The sequence below is a fragment of the Homo sapiens genome, chromosome 4 (assembly GCF_000001405.40).
Source record: "Homo sapiens chromosome 4, GRCh38.p14 Primary Assembly".
NCBI classification, from domain to species: Eukaryota; Metazoa; Chordata; class Mammalia; order Primates; family Hominidae; genus Homo; species Homo sapiens.
The window spans coordinates 127226285-127248739 of NC_000004.12; the positions used below are offsets into that span (position 1 = coordinate 127226285).

The 22455-nt window shown below is 37.3% G+C and overlaps 2 long non-coding RNA genes across 4 annotated transcripts in view, besides 1 other annotated feature; both read right to left on the reverse strand.

Moving 5' to 3' along the window:
- The window catches only part of LOC102724210 (uncharacterized), a 396780-nt gene that overhangs the window by 152509 nt on the left and 221816 nt on the right, over positions 1 to 22455 (reverse strand). The window lies entirely within an intron of this gene.
- The window catches only part of LOC107986312 (uncharacterized), a 53794-nt gene continuing 33522 nt past the window's right edge, over positions 2184 to 22455 (reverse strand). The window contains exon 2 of the long non-coding RNA XR_001741826.1: positions 2184 to 4105. This is a non-coding gene — a long non-coding RNA (uncharacterized LOC107986312). The remainder of the gene's footprint in view (positions 4106 to 22455) is intronic.
- Positions 10668 to 10837: an enhancer, noted in NCBI's record as "experimental_73387 CRE fragment used in MPRA reporter constructs". NCBI's record gives its function as "activates a minimal promoter by MPRAs in K562 erythroleukemia cells, with activity observed for both the introgressed and non-introgressed 4:128158192 variant alleles {active_cell/tissue: K562}" and the evidence as "EXISTENCE:reporter gene assay evidence [ECO:0000049][PMID:34662402]".

Genomic DNA, 22455 nt, shown 5'->3' on the forward strand with positions numbered 1-22455 from the left:
CTTTTGGCTGCATAAATGTCTTCTTTTGAGAAGTGTCTGTTCATATCCTTTGCCCACTTGTTGATGGGGATGTTTGTTTTTTTCTTGTAAATTTGTTTGAGTTCTTTGTAGATTCTGGATATTAGCCCTTTGTCAGATGAGTAGATTGCAACAATTTTCTCCCATTCTGTAGGTTGCCTGTTCACTCTGATGGTAGTTTCTTTTGCTGTGCAGAAGCTCTTTAGTTTAATTAGATCCCATTTGTCAATTTTGGCTTTTGTGGACATTGTTTTTGGTGTTTTAGACATGAAGTCCTTGCCCATGCCTATGTCCTGAATGGTATTGCCTAGGTTTTCTTCCAGGGTTTTTATGGTTTTAGGTCTAACATTTAAGTCTTTAATCCATCTTGAATTAATTTTTGTATAAGGTCTAAGGAAGGGATCCAGTTTCAGCTTTCTACATATGGCTAGCCAGTTTTCCCAGCACCATTTATTAAATAGGGAATCCTTTCCCCATTGCTTGTTTTTCTCAGGTTTGTCAAAGATCAGATAGTTGTAGATATGTGGCATTATTTCTGAGGGCTCTGTTCTGTTCCATTGGTCTATATCTCTGTTTTAGTACCAGTACCATGCTGTTTTGGTTACTGTAGCCTTGTAGTATAGTTTGAAGTCACGTAGCATGATGCCTCCAGCTTTGTTCTTTTTGCTTAGGATTGTCTTGGCAATGCGGGCTCTTTTTTGGTTCCATATGAACTTTAAAGTAGTTTTTTCCAATTCTGTGAAGAAAGGCATTGGTAGCTTGATGGGGATGGCACTGGGCCATTTTCACGATATTGATTCTTCCTATCCGTGAGCATGGAATGTTATGTTCTTCCATTTGTTTGTATCCTCTTTTATTTCATTGAGCAGTTGTTTGTAGTTCTCCTTGAAGAGGTCCTTCACATCCCTTGTAAGTTGGATTCCTAGGTATTTTATTCTCTTTGAAGCAATTGTGAATGGGAGTTCACTCATGATTTGGCTCTCTGTCTGTCTGTTATTGGTGTATAAGAATGCTTGTGATTTTTGCACATTGATTTTGTATCCTGAGACTTTGCTGAAGTTGCTTATCAGCTTAAGGAGATTTTGGGCTGAGACGATGGGGTTTTCTAGATATACAATCATGTCATCTGCAAACAGGGACAATTTGACTTCCTCTTTTCCTAATTGAATACCCTTTATTTCCTTCTCCTGCCTGATTGCCCTGGCCAGAACTTCCAACACTATGTTGAATAGGAGTGGTGAGAGAGGGCATCCCTGTCTTGTGCCAGTTTTCAAAGGGAATGCTTCCAGTTTTTGCCCATTCAGTATGATATTGGCTGTGGGTTTGTCATAGATAGCTTATTTTGAGAGACGTCCCAGACACATGCACACATATGTTTATTGCGGCACTATTCACAATAGCAAAGACTTGGAACCAACCCAAATGTCCCACAATGATAGACTAGATTAAGAAAATGTGGTACATATACACCATGGAATACTATGCAGCCATAAAAAGGATGAGTTCATGTCCTTTGTAGGGACATGGATGAAGCTGGAAACCATCATTCTCAGCAAACTATCGCAAGGACAAAAAACCAAACACCGCATGTTCTCACTCACAGGTGGGAATTGAACAATGAGAACGCATGGACACAGGAAGGGGAACATCACACACAGGGGCCTGTTGTGGGGCGGGGGGAGGGGGAAGGGATAGCATTAGGAGATATACCTAATGTTAAATGACGAGTTAATGGGTGCAGCACACCAACATGGCACATGTATACATATGTAACTAACCTGCACATTGTGCACATGTACCCTAAAACTTAAAGTATAATAAAACAAAAATGCCGCCTTGACTGCTCCAAATATTATGGTTTTTCTGCTCGAGTAAACTTAAGCTGAGCCCAGACATTGTATTTAAATAATAAAATGCACTTAGTCATATTCTCAGAATTTGACTTTGCTTCACTCCAAATAATACAGTAATCCCTACCAAATATATATTATCTACATGATGAGGTACAAAGACATTTGTAATAAGCCCAGAGACACAAGTATAAAAACTGACTAAACACAATTTGAACCAACGCCTGTCTGATTATGTCATGATACTCCTAACAATTACATCACGTTTTCATTTTTATTAGTTATATTTTGAATGATAAAATTCAGATTATAAACTTTTAATAGTCCATAATTAATTTATTTTATTAATTGACTCACATAATGATACATCTCACTTAATACAAGATACTTTCTTTCTTCTGGGAAGTGGGTCTCCAGATGCCTTGGTTCCTTAAAATATTTATTGTCCAATATATTTCATAAGATTTTCCCTTCACTGAAACTTTTCTTTGAGGAAAGTGAAAGAAGACGGAGAGTCAGCTGTCATTTTGTATTTTCCCTTTAGAACTTACAGTATCTAGCTTAGCAGTGCTGACAATGCCCCTCATTGTTAACCTAGTTCATTGTCAAAAGTTTTTACTTGACTCTTCTTCCAATGAGGCCATGTAAATTAATTAAGAGAGATGGTCACTACCTTTAAGCAATAAGAAGGCAAATAAAAAAGATATCACCAATCCAAATAATTAGTTGCCTAATTGGTGCTTTGGAAGCTTATGCTATCATGAGAGTTTCATCTCATAAATTCAGTGCCTGAATGAAACCCAGTATCATGGCAACTTCAACTACAAAACCCACTTGCAAGTGGAAATATCAATACGCATAAACTATACATTTGTAATCTCATCATACAATTTGACCCATCATAGATGATCTCTCCTAAACATTGTTTAAAAGACTAGGCATGTGAACCTCTGAACAACAGCAAATGATGTTTTTGGCTAACCTACACCTTAGCAGCTAATGGAGAAGCTTATTAGGTACTTGATCAGCAATATTTATAGCATTACCCCCACACTGTTATGATTTGTCATTGTAATAACACTTTTAAAGCATTAATTATGAAACAAGCATTATTCTAAGCACTTTGCCTGGGTTAACTCATTTTATCTTTACAAGTCCATGAGGTAAGTACCAACATGGGATGTAAGGCACAAAGAGCTAAAGTTGCATAGCCAATAGGTGGTATTATTAACAGCATTATTAGCATTGTTAATATCAATAATGTGCTCAAAGATGGACTTAGATATCAGAATAAAATTTAAAAATTGAATTTCAAACAGCTGCCTCATTTACCATCTCAAGAATCTATCCAAGCAAAAGGCCTCACCATGTCTTTCTTAAAATGTAGATGCTTGTAATTTGTCAAAATACAGAGAATAATTTCATGAACTCGAAACAGTTCCTTCTTCAGAAAGTACATAATTCAAACTTTGAAGCTGTGAAGATTTTATACATACATAAAATCTTGGATATATATCTCTATCCTTTGTGCTATTTACTATTAAAAGTCCAATGAGAAGCAAACAAAAGGTGAAGAGGGCACCTACAGCCTTAGAAGGTATTAGAACAGCTCACAAAGTAGAATGAAGCTTGAACTATTTTAACTTTTTGTGTGTTCTAATGGATATTTGTGTTTCAAATACTTTCAGAATCATATTAGTTTTATAAAACTCTATTTTCTCCACCTCCAAATCTTCCTTTCCCCACCTTAAATCAATCCACTCCAGGTCTTTGGGGACTGCCAATTTGGAACATCCTCTGGCTTTGACAATTGGCAGCTGGGATCAATCAGTTCATAAAATCCATCTTGTCAGCTAAAACAAGTCATATTTCTTAAGCAAGACAATCTGTTAAACAGCTTAGGTCTTAAATCCATGAAAAACATTTGCAAAAACACATTTTATGCTTGCTCTTCTTAAGTTCTGAGGCTACAGATGTTACAAAAACCACCATTCTGGAAACTTTCCCAGTCATCTCTTCTTTCCTGAAAATTTGAAGGTATCTTCTGGGCTCAACAGCAAGCAGAAGACCAGCTTCTGAGAGCCATGGGTGGAAATAGATTTCCTCAATGTGAGATGAATCCTTGCTTCACCCTGGGCAGTTACATAGTAGTTTCTATCTGCTGTGCAATCAATCCAGTTCATCATAAGCCAGTGTCATCAGAGTGCAGTTAGACTGGCTTCCTGTTCTGGCTGTCCCTAATAAGAAAAATGTACATCGAATTATATAGATTTGAAAGTGATTGCAAAGCTTATATAGCTAAGTGATCTCAAGCAAGGCATATCTCAAGCTTCAATCTCCTTCTCAGTAAAATGAGAGGGCTGGAATGACAAAACGCATTTCTTTCCAATTTTATAATTCGTGATTCTACTTCTTCCTATTGCTTTCACAAGCAAGGAAGCCTACTCCATCATCATTGCCAACTCTTGAAATTCTCCAGGACCATAGTGGGTTGGTCCCCATACAACATCATTCCATGAATGGTGATGGGTTAGATAAACCTATTTGCAGACTTAATCATACTTAACAAAGTACTGGAACGTTTCATAAGAAATAAAAGTTGGTGTTCCCCATGGTACCTCCACTTGATTATCATTACTTCAAAATAGAATCAGTTCTTAACACCTCATACCATAACATCAAAGTGGGAAAATGCACATTAGACAAATGATCACATTACTTGGCCTGGCTCCAGACAAACATCAGTCACTGATAATTCCTCTTCCTCCCATCAAGCCAAGACCACCCTGAGAATCCTCAGCTCAACCTTCCAGACAGCCACCAGCAATTGTTCAGAATTGGCATCAACGAGAGAATACATTTCATATTGTGACCTATGCATTAAGTAGTCCCAATCAAAACCCAACTGTTGTCTATATATCTAACTGAATGTGTTCTGAAACATACTCATTTTCTTCCCACGAAGCATCTCCCTCTCTTCCTATGTTCCCTATTTTGATAAATGACAATACTGGCCGGGCGCAGCGGCTCATGCCTGTAATTCCAACACTTTGGGGGCCGAGGCGGGCAGATCCCTTGAGGTCAGGAGTTCGAGACCAGCCTGGCCAACACAGTGAAACCCAGTCTTTACTAAAAATACAAAAATTAGCTGGGTGTGGTGACACATGCCTGTAATCCCAGCTACTCCAGAGGCTGAGGCATGAGAATCACTTGAACCTGGGAGACTGAGATTGCAGTGAGCCAAGATCACACTACTGCACTCCAGCCTGGGTGACAGAGTGAGACTCTGTCCCAAAAATAAATAAATAAATAAATAAATAAATAAGTAAATAAATAAATAAAAAATACCCATGATCCATACATCCAAATAAAATAATATTTTGCCTTAACCTCAAGTCCTGCAAATTTTACTTCCTAAGTCAATTTTCACATTTACTCTCTTCATTCAAACGAACACTTCCTTAGTTCAAAGGCTTATAATTAATTTCTCTCTAACATACTGAAATAGCTTTTTAACTAATTTACTTTGCCAATTGTCTTGCAAATATCCTATTTCCCTATTTAAATGCTTCAGTGAATTCTAATGCATATGATCATAACAGTCTCAGTTTATTTAAACATCTGACGTGGCAGCACAGGGTTCTATCAGCAAGTGAAAACTGCATGGCCTTTTACAGTTTAGCTTTGGAAGTAATATCACTTCTACCACATTCTATTGGACAAGGCAGTCACAAGCCCATCCAGATTCATGGGGCCCTTGATTAGAGGAGTGTCAAAGAATTTGCAAGCATGTTTTAAAATCACTATGCGCACTTCTCTCTTTCACATGTTATGCTACAGACAAAAAAAATGGAACTAATAGTTCCCCAATTATGCCTTTGCACGTACTATTTTCCCAGCATAAAATTTCTCCTTCATCTCCTTGGAAAACCCCTATTCATTCCTCTAGAATCATTGAAATACTACTTCCACTGTGAGAGCTTCACTGACAGCGCCAAGTGAACATGAACTACCTCTAATCTCCAGTAAGATCTCACCTCCTAGCCCAGTGCCTCTCAAGGATACAAATCTCCTGGGATCTTACTGAGATTCAGACTCATTAGTAGGTCTAAGGTGAGGCCAAAGATTCTGCATTTCTTACAAGCTCCCAGAGGATAACTATGATGTTGGTCCATTACTCTGAGAAGCAACAGCCCAGTCAGAAAGCTTACTCAAATTGCTGTCCCAGGGTGGAGTGTTTCATCCAAGGAGGGGGTATAGCACAGGGGAAGGCTACAGAGCATCTGGGGAGAGGCCAGAGAGGGAGAGAAAAGTTGCAGCAGGCTCCTAAGAGCAGGCAGATTGTTAAAGTACGTGTATTTCTGAGACACAGGCAAAGAGTGAAATTTGGGTACAAACCAATATGAGAACCAGACAAACCAAGCCAAAAGCTGGCCAAAGCTTTAAGTGAAGTGTGGGAGACAGAACACAGAGGAATCCTAGAGCTGGTTAAAGGGTATCTGTAAAAGTTTTTCATGGGTTAAAGATAAGGAGAGAGCCATTAGGGCACTAAGCTAAGATTAACATTTTCTAAAATTTTTGCCTACACTTCCATTGAGGATATTGTCTTTCTACGATGAAATTTTAATTTGCATCTCTATATCTAAACTAGACCTACCATAAGCTTCCTGAGAACATGGACTATTCTTATTTGTTAAAGAATCATATTTAAGAGCATATATATGCTTTTGGGGTTTATATCTTAACTCTGCCACTACCTGAAGTGTGAACTTAGCGAGATTATTTTTTGTTTGCTTCAGTTTCCTTAAACATAAAATTGGGGGTAATGACAATAATGTCAGCACAAAAGAATACTGAGAGAATTAAAAGAATATATATAAGAGTGTATATATTATGTATATAATATATACTATGTATATAATATGTATATAATATATACTATGTATATAATATGTATATAATATATACTATTCCTGGAGCATAGTAAGCCTTTAATCAGTGTTTGATATTATAGGGAGCATAATGTCTAAGAGTTTGGGATTAGAATCAAACTACTAGAGTAAAAATCTCCAGCTCTCTGATTTACTACTCATGGGACCTCGAACACAGTACTTAACTCCTCTAAGCCTTAGTTATTTCGTCTGTAAAATTAAGATGCTAATAGTGCTTCTATAATAGGATTAAGAGAATTGAGATTATTCACCCCTGATAAATGCAATAAATTTTCAATGATTATTTATTACTATGCTATCATCATCTTCAGAATGAGTCTGGCACATAGTGGGCTTTCAATATATACTTGTTAAATGATTAAATAATATTGTAAACATAAGTAATGTTTTCTACTTAATCATAAGTAAACAAGTAATATTGTTAACATTAACCTCAGCAATTTCACTTCCTTTCAAGACACTGTGATTTACTTAGGAAAAAATTTTTCTTAGGACAACACAAGGAAAGAAAGTCAAGTAGACATAGCAGGCCCCTCTATATCCTTGGATCTAATAGCACAGCTTCACTTTTACCTTTTTTTATATGTTAAGCTTCTATGTAAGTTTCACTTGAAAAACTGTTCCCACCACTAGGGCACAAAGAATTATATCATATTTTCCATAACTATGTGTTCTCCTGTAGACCATAAAAGAATAGCACAGCATCCAATGTCCAATTACATATTCTGGGGACCACACATGCTAATGGATGTAAATACCTAACAATAATAAAAATTAAATGAAAGGCAGCTATCTCACCGCTCTTCTCCAGTTGCCCATTTGTCTACTGCCTGAGAATCAAAGAATTCAGTTGGCTAGAAACAAATATGACCCTGACCAGCCTGTCAGAATTAACATAGCACTACTGTACTAGCAAAAGAATTAATAAGAATAACAGGCCTAGTTCCAATACACATGGTGGGAAACCTCTTGCTGACAGAAAGATACAGGATAGGATTCACCTCAGCATTCCCCTGGACATTTAAAGTAAAAACCACAACTCAACTGTACCCCAAAGAATTTGAGAATTTGCAATACATCTGATTACCCTATTTTACAATAAGTGTCTGGACTAGAATCCTAGAAGGGTCACATTCTCTCCCAACTAGTGTTTGTTACAGAAATGCATTTCAGGGGACATACGGATGTTTTCTTTTACCTAATATTTATGTTGTTAGACATGGGATAGATAAATTCAAACATACTTTGTTTCATAAATTTATATGCTCTTTCTTGTCTTCCATGGGATTTAGGAGTGTCACAAAATTTTAAATTCCAAAAGGAAAGTTTTCCACAATTTCTTTCACATGCAATTCAATGCTGCTCCTTCTGAGAATAAGCACGTGGCAGGCACTCCAGACACTCCCCAAGAGAGGCAATGCACATTTCCATGGCTAGTTGTTGCAGACATTTCCATTTTAATAAAAATCCTCCTGACTGGTTTGTTTCTTTGTGGGTTCAAATACACAATGTTCTTTGCATAAGTAATAAGCCCCATGGTCTATGCAGATAGAGATTATAGAAATCAAATGATATGACCACCCACTTTTGGCATAATATTGAGCAAGAGAAAATAATAATTACCAGTGAATTTTAGTCTTATGTTCCCAAACAGTGGCATTGAAAAAAACCTGATCGACCCTACTCAAGTAGGAGTTGAAGTTCATTATTGAAATAGCAATAGACGAGGATATGTGGGTTAGATTAAGAGATGGTATTTGGCTATGGGCCGTGGAATATCCCAATTCTGCTCATCACCAGCCACATCTTAATGAAAGATTCTTAAAGGACTATGACCAGGGCCAGTGAAATCTTTACTACTAAAAAGCATTCAAATTCCATTATAGAATTCCAGTGAGATGGCCTACACCCACAGTGGAACACAATTTCCCAGGTGGATCTAAGGAAGTTAACTTCAATGCAATGCCCAGAACCACATACCAAATCTGAAATCTGTTCATCTAGGGTAAGGGCCAAGAGGTGAAATGAGTCAAGAGGAGGAAGTGTCATAGAATCTCATCCTTAACATCTAGAGCATGCATTCCCATACTACACACCCTAGAGCTATCTCTGGAGTGAGGGAAGGGGAGAGATTTAAAAGAAGCTGCTTCCAGACCTACTTTATCTACACTCCCAAGAAAAGAAAGAGCCTTCTTTTTCTATGTGGGCTGCCATTTTGGTCAATCCAGAGCAGCACTCTCTCCTCCTGAGTGGGGAATGTGGTGTGTTGGTGATTGAGTAATCCTTTGGGTGAGAACAGAAAAGGGCCCGAAGCTCCCTTGGGGGTTCAAAGGGCTGACAAAATCTATCTAAGTCAATTCCACCCAACTTTGTATAGGGGAAGAAAGAACAAGTTAACTTCATACCCCAGTAAAATCCTAATGCCACCTGGTAGGAAATCATAGAATTTTCAGGAGATATTACTGATGTAAGTAGACTACGTATTTTAATGATGTGGAAGAAAATAGAACTACTGCTATACAAACAAAAATATGTTCACTTAATAAGTGAACAACCAGATAAGCACTATTTTCTCTTTTTAAATGAATATTTTGGAGTTAAGTAAATAAAGACACAATTATCCAATTAATTTTTTCCTTTTTAATGTGTCATGTTGAAATAGAATCTTATAACCAGGTTACTAGAAAAACCAAAAGATAAGTAACAATGGCATGAATGCTGTGATGATACACACTCCTTTCATCTTCCCACTGACACTACCAGATCAACCACAGACTGTAGACTTTGTCTTAGGACTGGCTCAATTTCCATGAAGTCCTCTAGAGCTGAGATGGCTGAAACAGACGTGTATCCCCTGCAGAGACAAAATGGAGCTATAGGGGAAACACTGGGACTAGAAGTGGCTTCTGCCTCCGAATACAATAAATGTCTCACAGTATAAAATGAAGGTCTTCCAAAGTTTCTCACTCATTACCATATTCCCCATAGCCCCAAATTATCATTTTATGAAACTGACTCCTATTGTTGAGCAATTAATGGAATACTTTCTCTTATATATAAAATATCTATCTCTTCTGGGATAGACAGGGATGATGCAAATGGCTGAGAAGGGTGATAAGCACAGCTCACCCATGCTGTGTGGTCCAGAGATTTTGTGCTTCTGTTTTGGCAACACCATAATCAACACTGAGAAAATCCTCATGTCCATTAGCTCATTGTATGTTGGTAGTACCACAATGAGTTTCTCCAGAAACGTTCATCAACATTCATTAGTCAGGCAAAACGTTTCAACAGTGGAAGCATGTTACTTCTATTTTAATGTGAGTTATAGGGTCCAAAAACTAGTCACTTAGGCATCCTCCAAGCCAGTTAACTTTCTAATTATAAATACCACGAAAACCTACAACCAATATTTATTGAGCTCTTTCTACGTGCCACTTCTTGAGAGACACCTTGTACACACTGTCTCATTAAACCCACACAACAATCCAGTGAATTAGGTACTATTTTATTTCCATTTTACATATGAGAAATCTTTGAAAAATCTGGATGTAAATCAAGCACAGATGACTTCATATGTGTGCATCTAACCAGACTATTACCCTCCAATCACTATAACTTGAGGTCTGACACAAACAAAAAGCAGTCTTTAATTTTTGTTGTCCTGGATCTTTTGAGGGAGGAAGAGTAAGGCATAACTTGAGCAATGTTTTCATATTTTTCTTCACACTACCTCACAACTAGGTAGGTCAAATAACATGTCCTTGTTGGAGCTTCCATCCATTCTCCATTTCACCAGCAAGAGAAAGGTATTTTGTACAGACTCACTTCCCCTCCCAGTACATCAACAATTTACATTTCTCCTTTAAAGCCCAGTTGCATGGTCCATCTGTTCAAGCTGGCCCTTATCCTGATTCATGGTGGCTGCAGGAGGGGGGTGAGGAAATCCACTTGCTGGGGAAAACCAAGCAATGTTGTATTAATTAAGAATTTGCATCACTGTTGTAAATACACCCAGAGGCCAGGGTGACGAGTACATTTTATAAATCAAATAAATGAATAATAACTTCTAGAGGTTACCAAATGTAAAATGTTTGAAGAACAGAAACCAGATGAATCCAAACCGTGGCCAAGGGTTACCCTTGCTAATTAAAACATAGACTGAAAACATTAACCTGATTCATAATCTAAATAAAACTCCATTTCTGGATAACTTTCCATCTTTATGAATTTTTTATTACAACAGAAGGTAACCACATGAAAGTCATTCTTAATGAACTCAATATTTTTAACTTTCTGAAATAAAAAGACAAAAAGGAAGAAACATGAAGAGAAACATAAAAAACGCCACACTTATAATTATTTCCCTGCACATACCACATCTCAAACACTTGGCCTTTCCATTTCTCTCATCTTTTAGGGCTGCCTTAAAAATTCAGAAACTCTGGAAAAAGAAAGAAAAGGAGGGAGGAAGGAAGAAGAGGAGGGAAGGAATTGGGGAGGAAAGGAGAAGATAAAAAAGAAATAAAAAAGGAAAGAAAAGAAAGGATTTCAAATATCTATAAGAGCTAACACATAGGAACTAATATATATAATAAAATACAAAGTTTAAGGTCACCCAGCTTTGAACCTTGGCTGAGAATGAATTGTTTATGCTTATGATTCAAAATAGCAAAAAAATACAACATCCGTTGAAATTTGGGCAAGTGTAGCTGAAGTTCACTGTAGACTTTTCAGCACATTACTGTCATTTCCAACTTTGGGGTTATTAGTGTTGTTTTCAACATCAGTTACTATCATGTGAATACTGATCAGGCCAATGGTATTCTGCTAGGCATGCTGGGCTCACCAAAGCATATTTAGATCTGGTTTTAAAGAAGGCCTGTTCTTCTTTAAATTTAAATTTTATCCAACAAAAGACCTGTTGATAGAAACACAAGGTCTGAAATTAAGAATATTTAGCCTGACTGGGCGCAGTGGCTCACGCCTGTAATCCCAGCACTTTGGGAGGCCGAGGCAGGTGAATCACCTGAGGTCAGGAGTTTGAGACCAGCCTGGCCAACATGGCGAAACCCCGTCTCTACTAAAAATATGAAAATTAGCCGGGCGTGGTGGCAGGCGCCTGTAATCCCAGCTACTCAGGAAGCTGAGGCAGGAGAATTGCTTGAACCTGAGAGGCAGAGGTTGCCATGAGCCAAGATTGGGCCATTGCACTCCAGCCTGGGCCAGAAGACTGAAACTCCATCTCAAATTAAAAAAAAAAAAAAAAAAAAAAAAAAACCTAAATTTATACTCCTGGAAATCAAAGGAAAATCCAAGAATAAAAGGTATATCTTTTTTTTCCTACTGATCTTCTGAAATAAATTATGATAAGGGAAGAAAGGAGGGAAGGAAAGAAAGAAATCCACAGCCTAAAAGCATACACAGATTATCAGTCCCCTCAACTCTTAGGATAGGGGCAGCCAAACACCCCAGCTTTTGATCTCAGTTGCCTTGTCTGTTTATTCTAGTGTAGCAGAGAAATATGACAATTGTTTTTTTCCTTTCTATTTGTACAAATTTATGGATAACATTTGCAATATTGTTATATTCATAGATCACAAAGAAGTTAAGCCAGGGTTCTTAGGGTACCCCTCACCTGAATAATGTACATTGTACCCATTAACTGATTTTGCATCATTCTGTCATTTTATGTTTGATCCATGACATGAAATATGTAAGGAAACACTGATCCAAGGACTTGTAAATTTTTGCTGGACACATCAGTTCCACAAATTTAGTCATCTTGTGAATTCCCCCAAATTTTCCTAAGAAACACTTACATTTATAAATTATATTTATTCTCTATTATAACTAAATTATATGCACATCCTCTTTTTTAGCCACAGTGTGAGTTAATCTTTAAGGAAGCTTTTGTCATTTAGCCTAATTTCATATAGGTTAAAACAATGCATCATCAAGCATTTGGAAAAATATAGTATTTTAGTTATTGAATGCCAACAATTCTGAAGTCATTTTCTATATTTAAAAAGCAAAAAGCCTTCTGCTTGGTTAGAAGAGACTTTTTCTGGCTCGTGCTGTCTAGCCCCGGAATGGAGAGTGAGAGGGCAGGGAATAAGGACTCCTTTGCATAAGGTGGTTTGGTCAGCTGGCACAAATATGTCCTCTGAGCAAAGGCACATGACATTTGTGATCCTGGCACTGATCGTGAAGGAACCACACCCATTGTCTTCCACATAATTTCCAGCATGCCAGTAAACTCGATCATCTATATTACTATTAGAAAGGTCCCCACTGTGCCTCCCTACAGCACAGAGCACCAATGTTAGAGACAGGGCTTCCACAAGGCATCGCAGACTTGCTGGAATTCTACATGAGCCTTCCATAAAAACAAATACAGCTCCAAAAGCAGAAGTTTTTAACTTCTGTAGTGAGAACTATAGAATTCAAACAAAAAGTGAAATAAATAAAAATGCTTAAATGTGAATTTTTTTACACAGTCTCACCAATCTAAGAATTTATAATTCAAAAAAGAGAAAGCAGAATCACTTTTATATAAATGCAAAACATATATTTCAGTTTTTACTACTCATTATTAGTAGATGTTTTTTCACTTAAAATAATTTCATTGGGTATTGCTTAGCAGTACATTTGTACATGAAGGAAAACTAACAATAACCATAGTAAATGATCATCAATAAACTTTAAAAACTCATGCTCCAAGCCAAGTAACCACTACAGAATTTGGTGTTTGTTTGTAACAAACTTTTCTTGAACATAACCAGACCACATGTTCACAAATAATGGCCTCTAAATGAAGGTAAATAGAGAAACAAGTGCAAGTTTTTCACTGAAAATTCACAAATTAGTTCAGACGTATCTGCAAAATTAAAATGTAAATAAACTAAATGCATGTGACTGATAAGAGACTCTGGTTTATGTATGTCATATTTGGCGACTGGTTTTGCCATGCAGATGACTGAAGTGAGCCGTTTTTACTCCATAATTTTTATCTCATCTATTTAGTACTAAGGTTGCCCTCCTAAAACCTCTCAGCCTTAGCCTAAGGTTTGATTTTCAAATCTAGCAACAAGCTAGTATCAGCACAGACCAAATATATCTCAAATAAGAGAACAACATTTCATTGAGCTTCCTTTGATATTGTATTGCATGGTGCATCTCTCCTGGCAGAGTGGAGGAAGGCTATTGATATATGGTATCCAGTCAAAGACATGTGCTTCCAATTATAACCTTCAAAATAAAGACAGGATACATAACCATATCCCTGGGGGTATGGAAATTACACCACTAGAGAAGCATGGCCAGAGGCCAGTGATTTGTAATGGTATACCTAATGAACATTGTATTTTCATCTAAACGTGCATTCTATTTATAATAATATAAAGCTACGTTTTAGATGAACAGAAAAAAATAGGCGTAACTGGCACAGCCACATAACTATAGACTGAAGAATATTAAATTCATAGAGTATACTAGTGTCTGGCACAAGGAGACGCATGCCTAGATGAGGGCATGCTGAGAAAAGGTGCTGGCATATACCACAAGAGAAACTACACCCTGGTGTGTAAGAGAGAGCACACAAGACAGGATTTAGGAGATAAGGTTTCTACATTACACTCTGAATTGTTACCAAATAGCTTCAGAATCAATAAGCAAACTCCTCCAGTGACCTCAATAATAAGCAATTTCCAAGTTTCAAGGGTAGAGTTGTAGTGTAAATTCTATGATGTCAAGGCCAGTGATAGAGAGAAGGGTGGACTCCACATAAGATCCTGAGCTCATAAAATTTGGAAGAAACTTAAGGGCTGCCACATGTCCTGGCTCTTGCTCAATTTCCTTGCCTGCACTGAATCAGGAGAAAGAAAAGTGAAAACTAAACACCACGCGGGTCATCCCCCCAGTGCTGATCTATGGGCACCAATGCTGGTATCCATTGGTGTATCTTTACAAGTTGTGAAGCAAGAAGAATATAAAAGTGTCTAAAAGGGATACAGACAAGATAATCTGGCAAGAGAATCTCAGCTTCACTGAACAATGGAACCTGAGGGAGGCTGATAACTTGCCATATGTTATTCATTGTGCCAGAAAGAGAACAAGAAAATGATATAAGGAGCAACCCTGTGGTCCAGAAAGGAAGGGGGAAGAAGTAATGGACAATGTCCTGGAAATGGGTATTTTACAGCGAATGCTGCCTATCACAGTTCAGTGCATGTTTATGACTTTTCAAGGTGTCACCTAAAAAGTCCAAAGTGTCATTGTCCTGATTTGATCATCACACAATGTATACATGAATTGAAACATCACACTGCACCTCATAAATATGTAGTTATTGTGTTAATTAAAAACAAAAAAATTAAAGGCATCATTGTCTTAATTTTACAAGTAAAGCCATTATCTATAATTCTTGCCAGTATGTTATAGGAACCAACAGAAGAACACTACAGACTTTTGATTGTAAATGCTAATGAATGTATTCTTATAACCTTTATTAACTCATCCATTCTTAAAAGCTGCATTGATTCTGAACTGACAGTTTACTTCACATTTAGCCAGGGACATAGGAGTTCAAAAACAGACAAAAAGGAAAACTGAAATTTTGAAAAACAAAATAGAAGCTGAATTGTCATTTATTAAATTAATATAAAATATAAAGAATCAGAACTTCAACAATATATTTTAATACTGTAAGGTGAACTATATATCTTAATAGAGCATGACAAGAATAACCAACAAAAGGAGCATTTACTATATTTTTTGAAAGAGCTTTGAGACTTTTTTAAAGTATAGCTAATAGCAATGTGTTCAAAGGCACTTAACCTTGGGCATAAGCAAGACTTCCTGACCTTAGGATTGATGAAGAATGGGGCATGTTGCCAGGAAGAGCTAAAAAGCCCCCACTGAAACACAATTTTCCGTATAGGATATAACCCAAGAGTCCAAGGTTGTGTAGATATCAACACACTCTGGGCCAAAAAGGAGATATCAGATATAAAAACCACTTCAAGCTCTGTCATTCTATGAGTGTAAAGTGAAAATGCTGTGATTTCCATCACAGTTGTTTCATTTCTCTAATTACTTCACAAGTTAGAGAATCATGGAATTATAGCAGCACCTTAAACCTGAATCCAAAGATTTTCTAATCTCCCACATTTTATAGGTATGCAATGTTACATTAAGCAATAGGCAACTGAAATAATAACAAGCTGTGAGCAGAGAAATCTAAATTTACTCTCAATTCCTACATTCCCAGTAAAATTATTGGGCAGATCTTAAACCATCTTACACTTGAATTTAATTTGACCCATCTCCATAACATTCAGATTCTATCTGTCCAAACATCACTGCTGCATAAGACAGAGGTACAACATTACACAACTGAATTCCTGTTTGTTTGTTTGTTTTGTTTTGAGACAAGGTCTCTATCACTCAGGCTGGAGTGCAGTGGGGCAATCACGGCTCACTGCAGCCTTGACATCCCAGGCTCAAATGATCCTCCCACCTCTACCTCTCAAGCAGCTGGGACTACAGGCAGTTGCCACCACACCTGGCTAATTTTTGTTTACTTTTTATAGAGATGGGGTCTCTGTCTGTTGCTCAGGCTGGTCTCAAACTCCTGTGCTCCAGCAATCCTCCCACCTTGGCCTCCCAAAGTGCTGGGATCACAGGCATGAGCCACTGCCCCCAGCCACAACTGTATCCTTTAATTGAATAGATTTATTGAAGTGCTTCTTAATAGAATTGTATGCATTCCATCAAATAGCATACAGAAACTGATTTTTTTTCTCCTTTCATCTGGGCCCTCATAGTCACCAAAATAGATTTTGAAATAATTTTTCCTTGTGGTAATGACCCTAAAAATTCTCAACGTTAGTGGCATGAAAAAATAAAACTTGAGAGAAAAATCTTTTTTCTAGTTTACCATTAAAAAAAATTAGATAGATTCAAATAAAACTGAATGAAACTATTGTTTACTTATGCTCAGTCAAGACAATGTCCTGAAAATAAAGTCTTAGTGAGTATCCGATTACTTGTTTGGAAGGTAGGTAGGTAAGAATCACCTTCTGTTGATTAGGAATTGACCAACCTGGGAGATTACACAGAGGATCTAGGTTGCTTCCTTTGCATCTAGCAGAAGTCATCCATTTTATAAAAGTTTGAAAAAAACAATTGGAACCCAATGTAGCTATAGCCCTGCAAGCACTTAGGTAAATCCTGGTGGCATGAAAGGAGAGAGGCTTCCCAGCCACTGGTCAGTGCAAATCCATTTTATGTAGCATAGGCCCTCACCAAAAGCAGAGGGGTATGCTTAAGCATGTGCACAAATGAAATCAGTGCCCATTCTTGGATATCAAGGAATCAGTCCCAAGTCCTCCTGGGACAACAAACTCATGTTTGCATAGTGAAGGTTTTGAAAATTGTGTGCCTAATCCATCTCTTCTAAAGAACGCCAGGGTCAGCTAAAGAAAAGAAAACGTGGGACATTTTATTAGGGGACATCATAGTGTCCTAGGTTTCTGTTACATTAAAGACTATTTCAAGATTTCCTGAAAATATTGACCCTCAGCACTTTAAGAATTCTCAGGATTTGGGTGAAATGGTGAGAAGTGAAACAAAAAGAGGATTAAAGTGGTATCTCCAGGTTAGTAAATAAGAATATCGCTTCTTCATGGTTTGGAAGAATTAATATTGTTAAAATAACCATATTCCTCATTCCCAAAATGAGCTACAAATTCAGTACAATTCGTATCAAAATACCAATGATATTCTTCACAGAAATAGAAAAAAAATACTAAAATTCACATGGAACCAGAAAAGATCCTAATAGCTAAAGCAATCCTGAGCAAAAGAAATAAAGCTGAAGGTGTTAAACTAACTGATTTCAAATTATAGCACAAATCGATAGTAACCAAAACAACATGGTACGGGCATAAAAACAGACAAAATAGGCCAATGGAACAGAACAGAGAGCCCAGAAATAAATTTACATATTTATAGACAACTCATTTTTTACAAAGGCACCAAGTACATACATTGAGGAAAGGACAGCCTTTTTAATAAACGGTGCTAGGAAAACTGGATATCCACATGCCAAAGAAAAAAACTAGATCCCCATCCTTTACCATATACAAAAACAAATTCAAGATGGACTAAAGATTTCAATGTAAGTCCTGAAATTATAAAGATACTAAAAGAAAACACTAGGTAAATGTAACAAGACATTGGTCTGGGCAAAGTTTTTTTGGGTAAGGCCTTTAAAGCACAAGCAACAAAAGCAAGAATAGACAAATGAGATTATTTCAAGCTAAAAGCTTCTGCACAGCAAAGGAAACAATCAACAAAATGAAGAGACAAGCCACAAAGTGGGAGAAAATATTTACAAAACTATCCATATGACAAGAGACGAATAACCAGAATACATAAGGAACTCAAATAACTCAATAGTTAAAAAAACTAATTTTAAAATGGGTAAAATATTTGAATAGACATTTCTCCATAGAAGATAAACAAATGGACAAGAGGTATGTTTTTTAAAATGCTCAGCATTAACAGTCATCAGGGAAATGCCCATTAAAACCACAATGAGATTTTTTTGTCTTTTTGATAAAAGCCATTGTAACCAGTTATGACGGCTTTTATCAGAAAGACAAAAGATAACAAATGCTAGCGAGCAAGCACAGAAAGAGGAATACGTGTACACTATTGGTGGGAATATAAATTAGTCCAGCCGTTATAGAAAACAGTATAGAGTTTCCTCAAAAAGCTGAAAATAGAACTCTCATATGATCCAGCAATCCCATTACTGGATAAATATCCAAAGGAAATCATTATATTCAAGAAATATCTACACTTCCAGGTTTATTGCAGCCCTATTCACCATAGCCAAGATATGGAATCAACCTATGTGTACATGAATGGATAAATTAATAAAGAAAATATTGTATATATATATATATATATATATATATATATATATATATATACACACACACACACACATACCCACAATGGAATATTATTCAGTCATTAAAAATAAAATTCTGTTATTTGCAGCAACATGCATGGAACTGGAGGTTATTATACTAAGTAGAACAAGCCAGGCAGAGAAAGATAAATATCACATGTTCTCACTTATGTGTGAAAGGAGAGCTAAATAAAAGTGGATCCCTTGGAGGTAGAGAGTAGATTGGTGGTTATCAGAGTCTGGGAAAGGAAGAGGGAAGGGGGGATAAAGAGAAGTTAGCCAAGGGGCACAATACAGTTAAATATAAGAAATAAGTCCTAGTATTCGATATGACAGTAGGAATATTATAGTTAATAAGTTATTGTATATTTCAAAATAGCTAGAAGAATTGTAATGTTCCAAACATGAAAAACTGTTTGATGTAATAGATATTCCAATTACCCTGATGTGATCACTACATATTGTATGTATGTATCAAAATATCACATGTACCCCCAAAATATTTACAACTATTATAGATCAGTTTTTCAAAGTAAAAAAAAAATTAAAAGAGAATTGAACTTCTTTATATAGCCATTTCTATCAGCGTTTCATAGGAAAACTTTGGAAAGTTTTACTCAAAAACAGAAAAAAATGAGAGAATATGGATAAAACATAAATAATTACACACAGTAAGCTAAAATAGAGGGAAATACCCACTTCTGTGAAGCCACATACACACACACATTCCATCCCATGTTAACATAAAACTATGTTATAAAACTTTTGGCACTGCCCCGAAGTGTGTCATAAGCAAGTGAGCTTCTCAGAGGACACCATGCCCTTTTCCTTTTAATACATCCAGAGCCTACATTAGAATTAAACACAATGCCTGACAAACTAGTAGGTGCTCAGTGGTGCTCATTAAACTGAACAATCTCCCTCCATGTCTTTTCACTTAGCCAGAAGATGATGACTTTAGGACAAGACACAATAGCACTGAATATCATGGTGGATGTGAGAAATAAAAGCAGATCATCAAACACATGTTTAATAGACATCTTCTAACAAGAGTTCATGGTAAAACTTTAAGAAATTCTGTTGTTCTTGGATTTCCAATTCTGCATCTAGGTTTTGTTTTTCCAGATAGGCATAAATCAGTAGGAGAAGATTAACTAGAAATCTGGCCAGTTGCATCCACAGTTACCTCTATCACATTTACTTCACACAGGAAGAGCACTGACCTCTGGAAAGAATGTTTAGCCCTTGGTGAGTGGAAATTGGACTAATCAATTTTTTTCTTGGTTCAGAAAATTTGTTGTGACTGAGACTTTCGCCATCCTTCTACAAAACATTTTCCAAAATGTCTTTGGGGTAACCTGACAATGAGTATTTACCATGTGCCAGGCACTGTTCTGAAAATTTCATGACAATAATGTATTTAATCCTCAAATCAAGTGAGAAAATTGAGGCACAGAGAAATAGTCTTCTGCAAAATTGCACAGCTAGTAAGGACAGACGTGGGACTTGAGCCCAGTCAAACTGGCTCCAGAACCAATATCTTAATCATTATGCTATACAAGGCAGTCCCTTCACTTTTGGTTTGGTGTGCCAGTTAATTCAGGACAAAAACTCAACCACTTCAAAGTTTAAACTTCCAATGAGGGCTATATTTCCCTGCTGTGGGTTCTCTCCTCCCTGCTCTTCTTTTCTGGGATAGTATCAAGGTAAAAAGAGAACACCAAATAGCATCCAAGCAATAAAGAAAGGGGTTCTTCTCTGCATCTGTGCTGGCTTCAGCTGTGTCGTCTCATACTACTTCGTCTTTGGGTGTTGGCTTCTGATCGCTCTGTTGTTCTGCTGGTATCGTAACTGTGCCTCAAAGACTTAAAGAAACCAATGACTAAATTCTTGAGTTTGCAGGATAACGGATAAGAAAAGAAACAACTTGCCAAAATGCTAAAACTCCCCCTGCTTATGAGATTTAAAAAAACAACAACAACAACTGGCTGAAACCGCTTGGAACAAAGATGGCCAACTGGAGTTTGCACAGAACAAGTTGCTGACATCACAACCTGAATTTCCAGTGTGTGTTTCAGACCACTGCCTGTGAATTTGCATATGCAAACCATGAGGAAGCATGAAAACATAACCATGCATGCCCAAGGACTTTCCAGGCCTTCCATTTTCTTCCACCAATTACCTAATAATCTCAGAAGCCACCCCAGAACCTTTTCTAATAAAAATACTGCCTTGAAGCCAACACAGGAGACAGATTTGAGCTTGACTCCTGTTTCCTTGTGAGTCTACTTTCAACATAAAACTTTTCTTTTCTCCAAATCCTGGTGTCATAGTATTGGCTTCTATTGCATCAGGTAGTGAGCCCCCTTTGCTTGATAACAGTATAACCGAGTTACCCGTTTCCTTAGGACAAGTGCTAGCATCTGATGTTGTAATCCTTGCCCAGGCTTCGGACTATGATGTCTACCACACGCTGTGCCCTCCAAACTTAACCTTGGTCTCTTCCAGTCCATCAGGTTAAGCTTCCTTAACTTCCACTAGGACATAGGTGAACTTCTGGGCCTCCTATTTGCCATTCTTGACCACAGAAGGCTTGGGGTGTATCTCAGTTCCACCATCCCTGCTCTACTATGGCCACTCTATCTTGGTATGAGGTCCTCATCCCAGAGTTTATACAGGAAGTTGTCACAACTTCCTCTGCTTTGGGACTCCAAGATATGCTTGCTGATCCCTATCCAGCCCCTTGAGTTATAACAACAAAAGGAGAAGTGTGCAAGTCCAGGTGAAGCCTGGGTCAGGAAGCAGGCACCCCATCTCTCTTGTTCTAGCCTCCTCTCTCCAGGATTCTTTCTTCCCACTGTTTAGGAAGGGCTGTCCTCATTCCTGGGTAATAGAGAAGTGCCCTCATATCACCTCCTGTGCTTTCCTCACTATCAGTTTCTAATACTTCCATCCTACCTCTGCAGCTTTAGTTTCTTTTCTCTCAACACATTTTGACTTTTCCAAATTAAATATTTGGGTTTCTCAATGTTTTTTTCCACTGGAATTCCACTGGAAAAATGTTTTTTTCCAAGGGAATTGGCCTCAAAATCCTATTTTGGATGCCAAAATCTGAAAATTTACTCCTTTGTTCTTGTCTGGGTGTTTCCTTTGAAGCACTGAAGCACTGGATGTCTCAATCTCAAAGGACAGCAGAAGCAGTAAAGAGCAGAAATGAAAAATAATTCACACAATCACCTTAGTGAATGGAGAACACTTTTGTCAGGCAAAGATCTCACATAAAGCCACCTCATGTGCTTTGGCTGGCATAAAAATGAAAATTTTAAAAAATAGAATGAACTGCTGTAAATGTTAATTTGTTAGGCTTTTCCCATCATCTCCTTTTTCTTGAGTTGTTTGAAAAGCATTAGAACTATGAGAAATCTTTTTCTTGATACAATATCACTGAGTAGATTTAGTGAATTCTGGGACTTAAACAGGAATCAGGCTGGGCACGGTGGCTCAAGCCTGTAATCCCAGCACTTTGGGAGGCCAAGGCGGGTGAATCACCTGAGGTCAGGAATTAGAGACCAGCCTGGCCAACATGGTGAAACCTCATCTCTACTAAAAATACAAAAATTAGCTGGGTCTGGTGGGGGGTGCCTGTAATCCC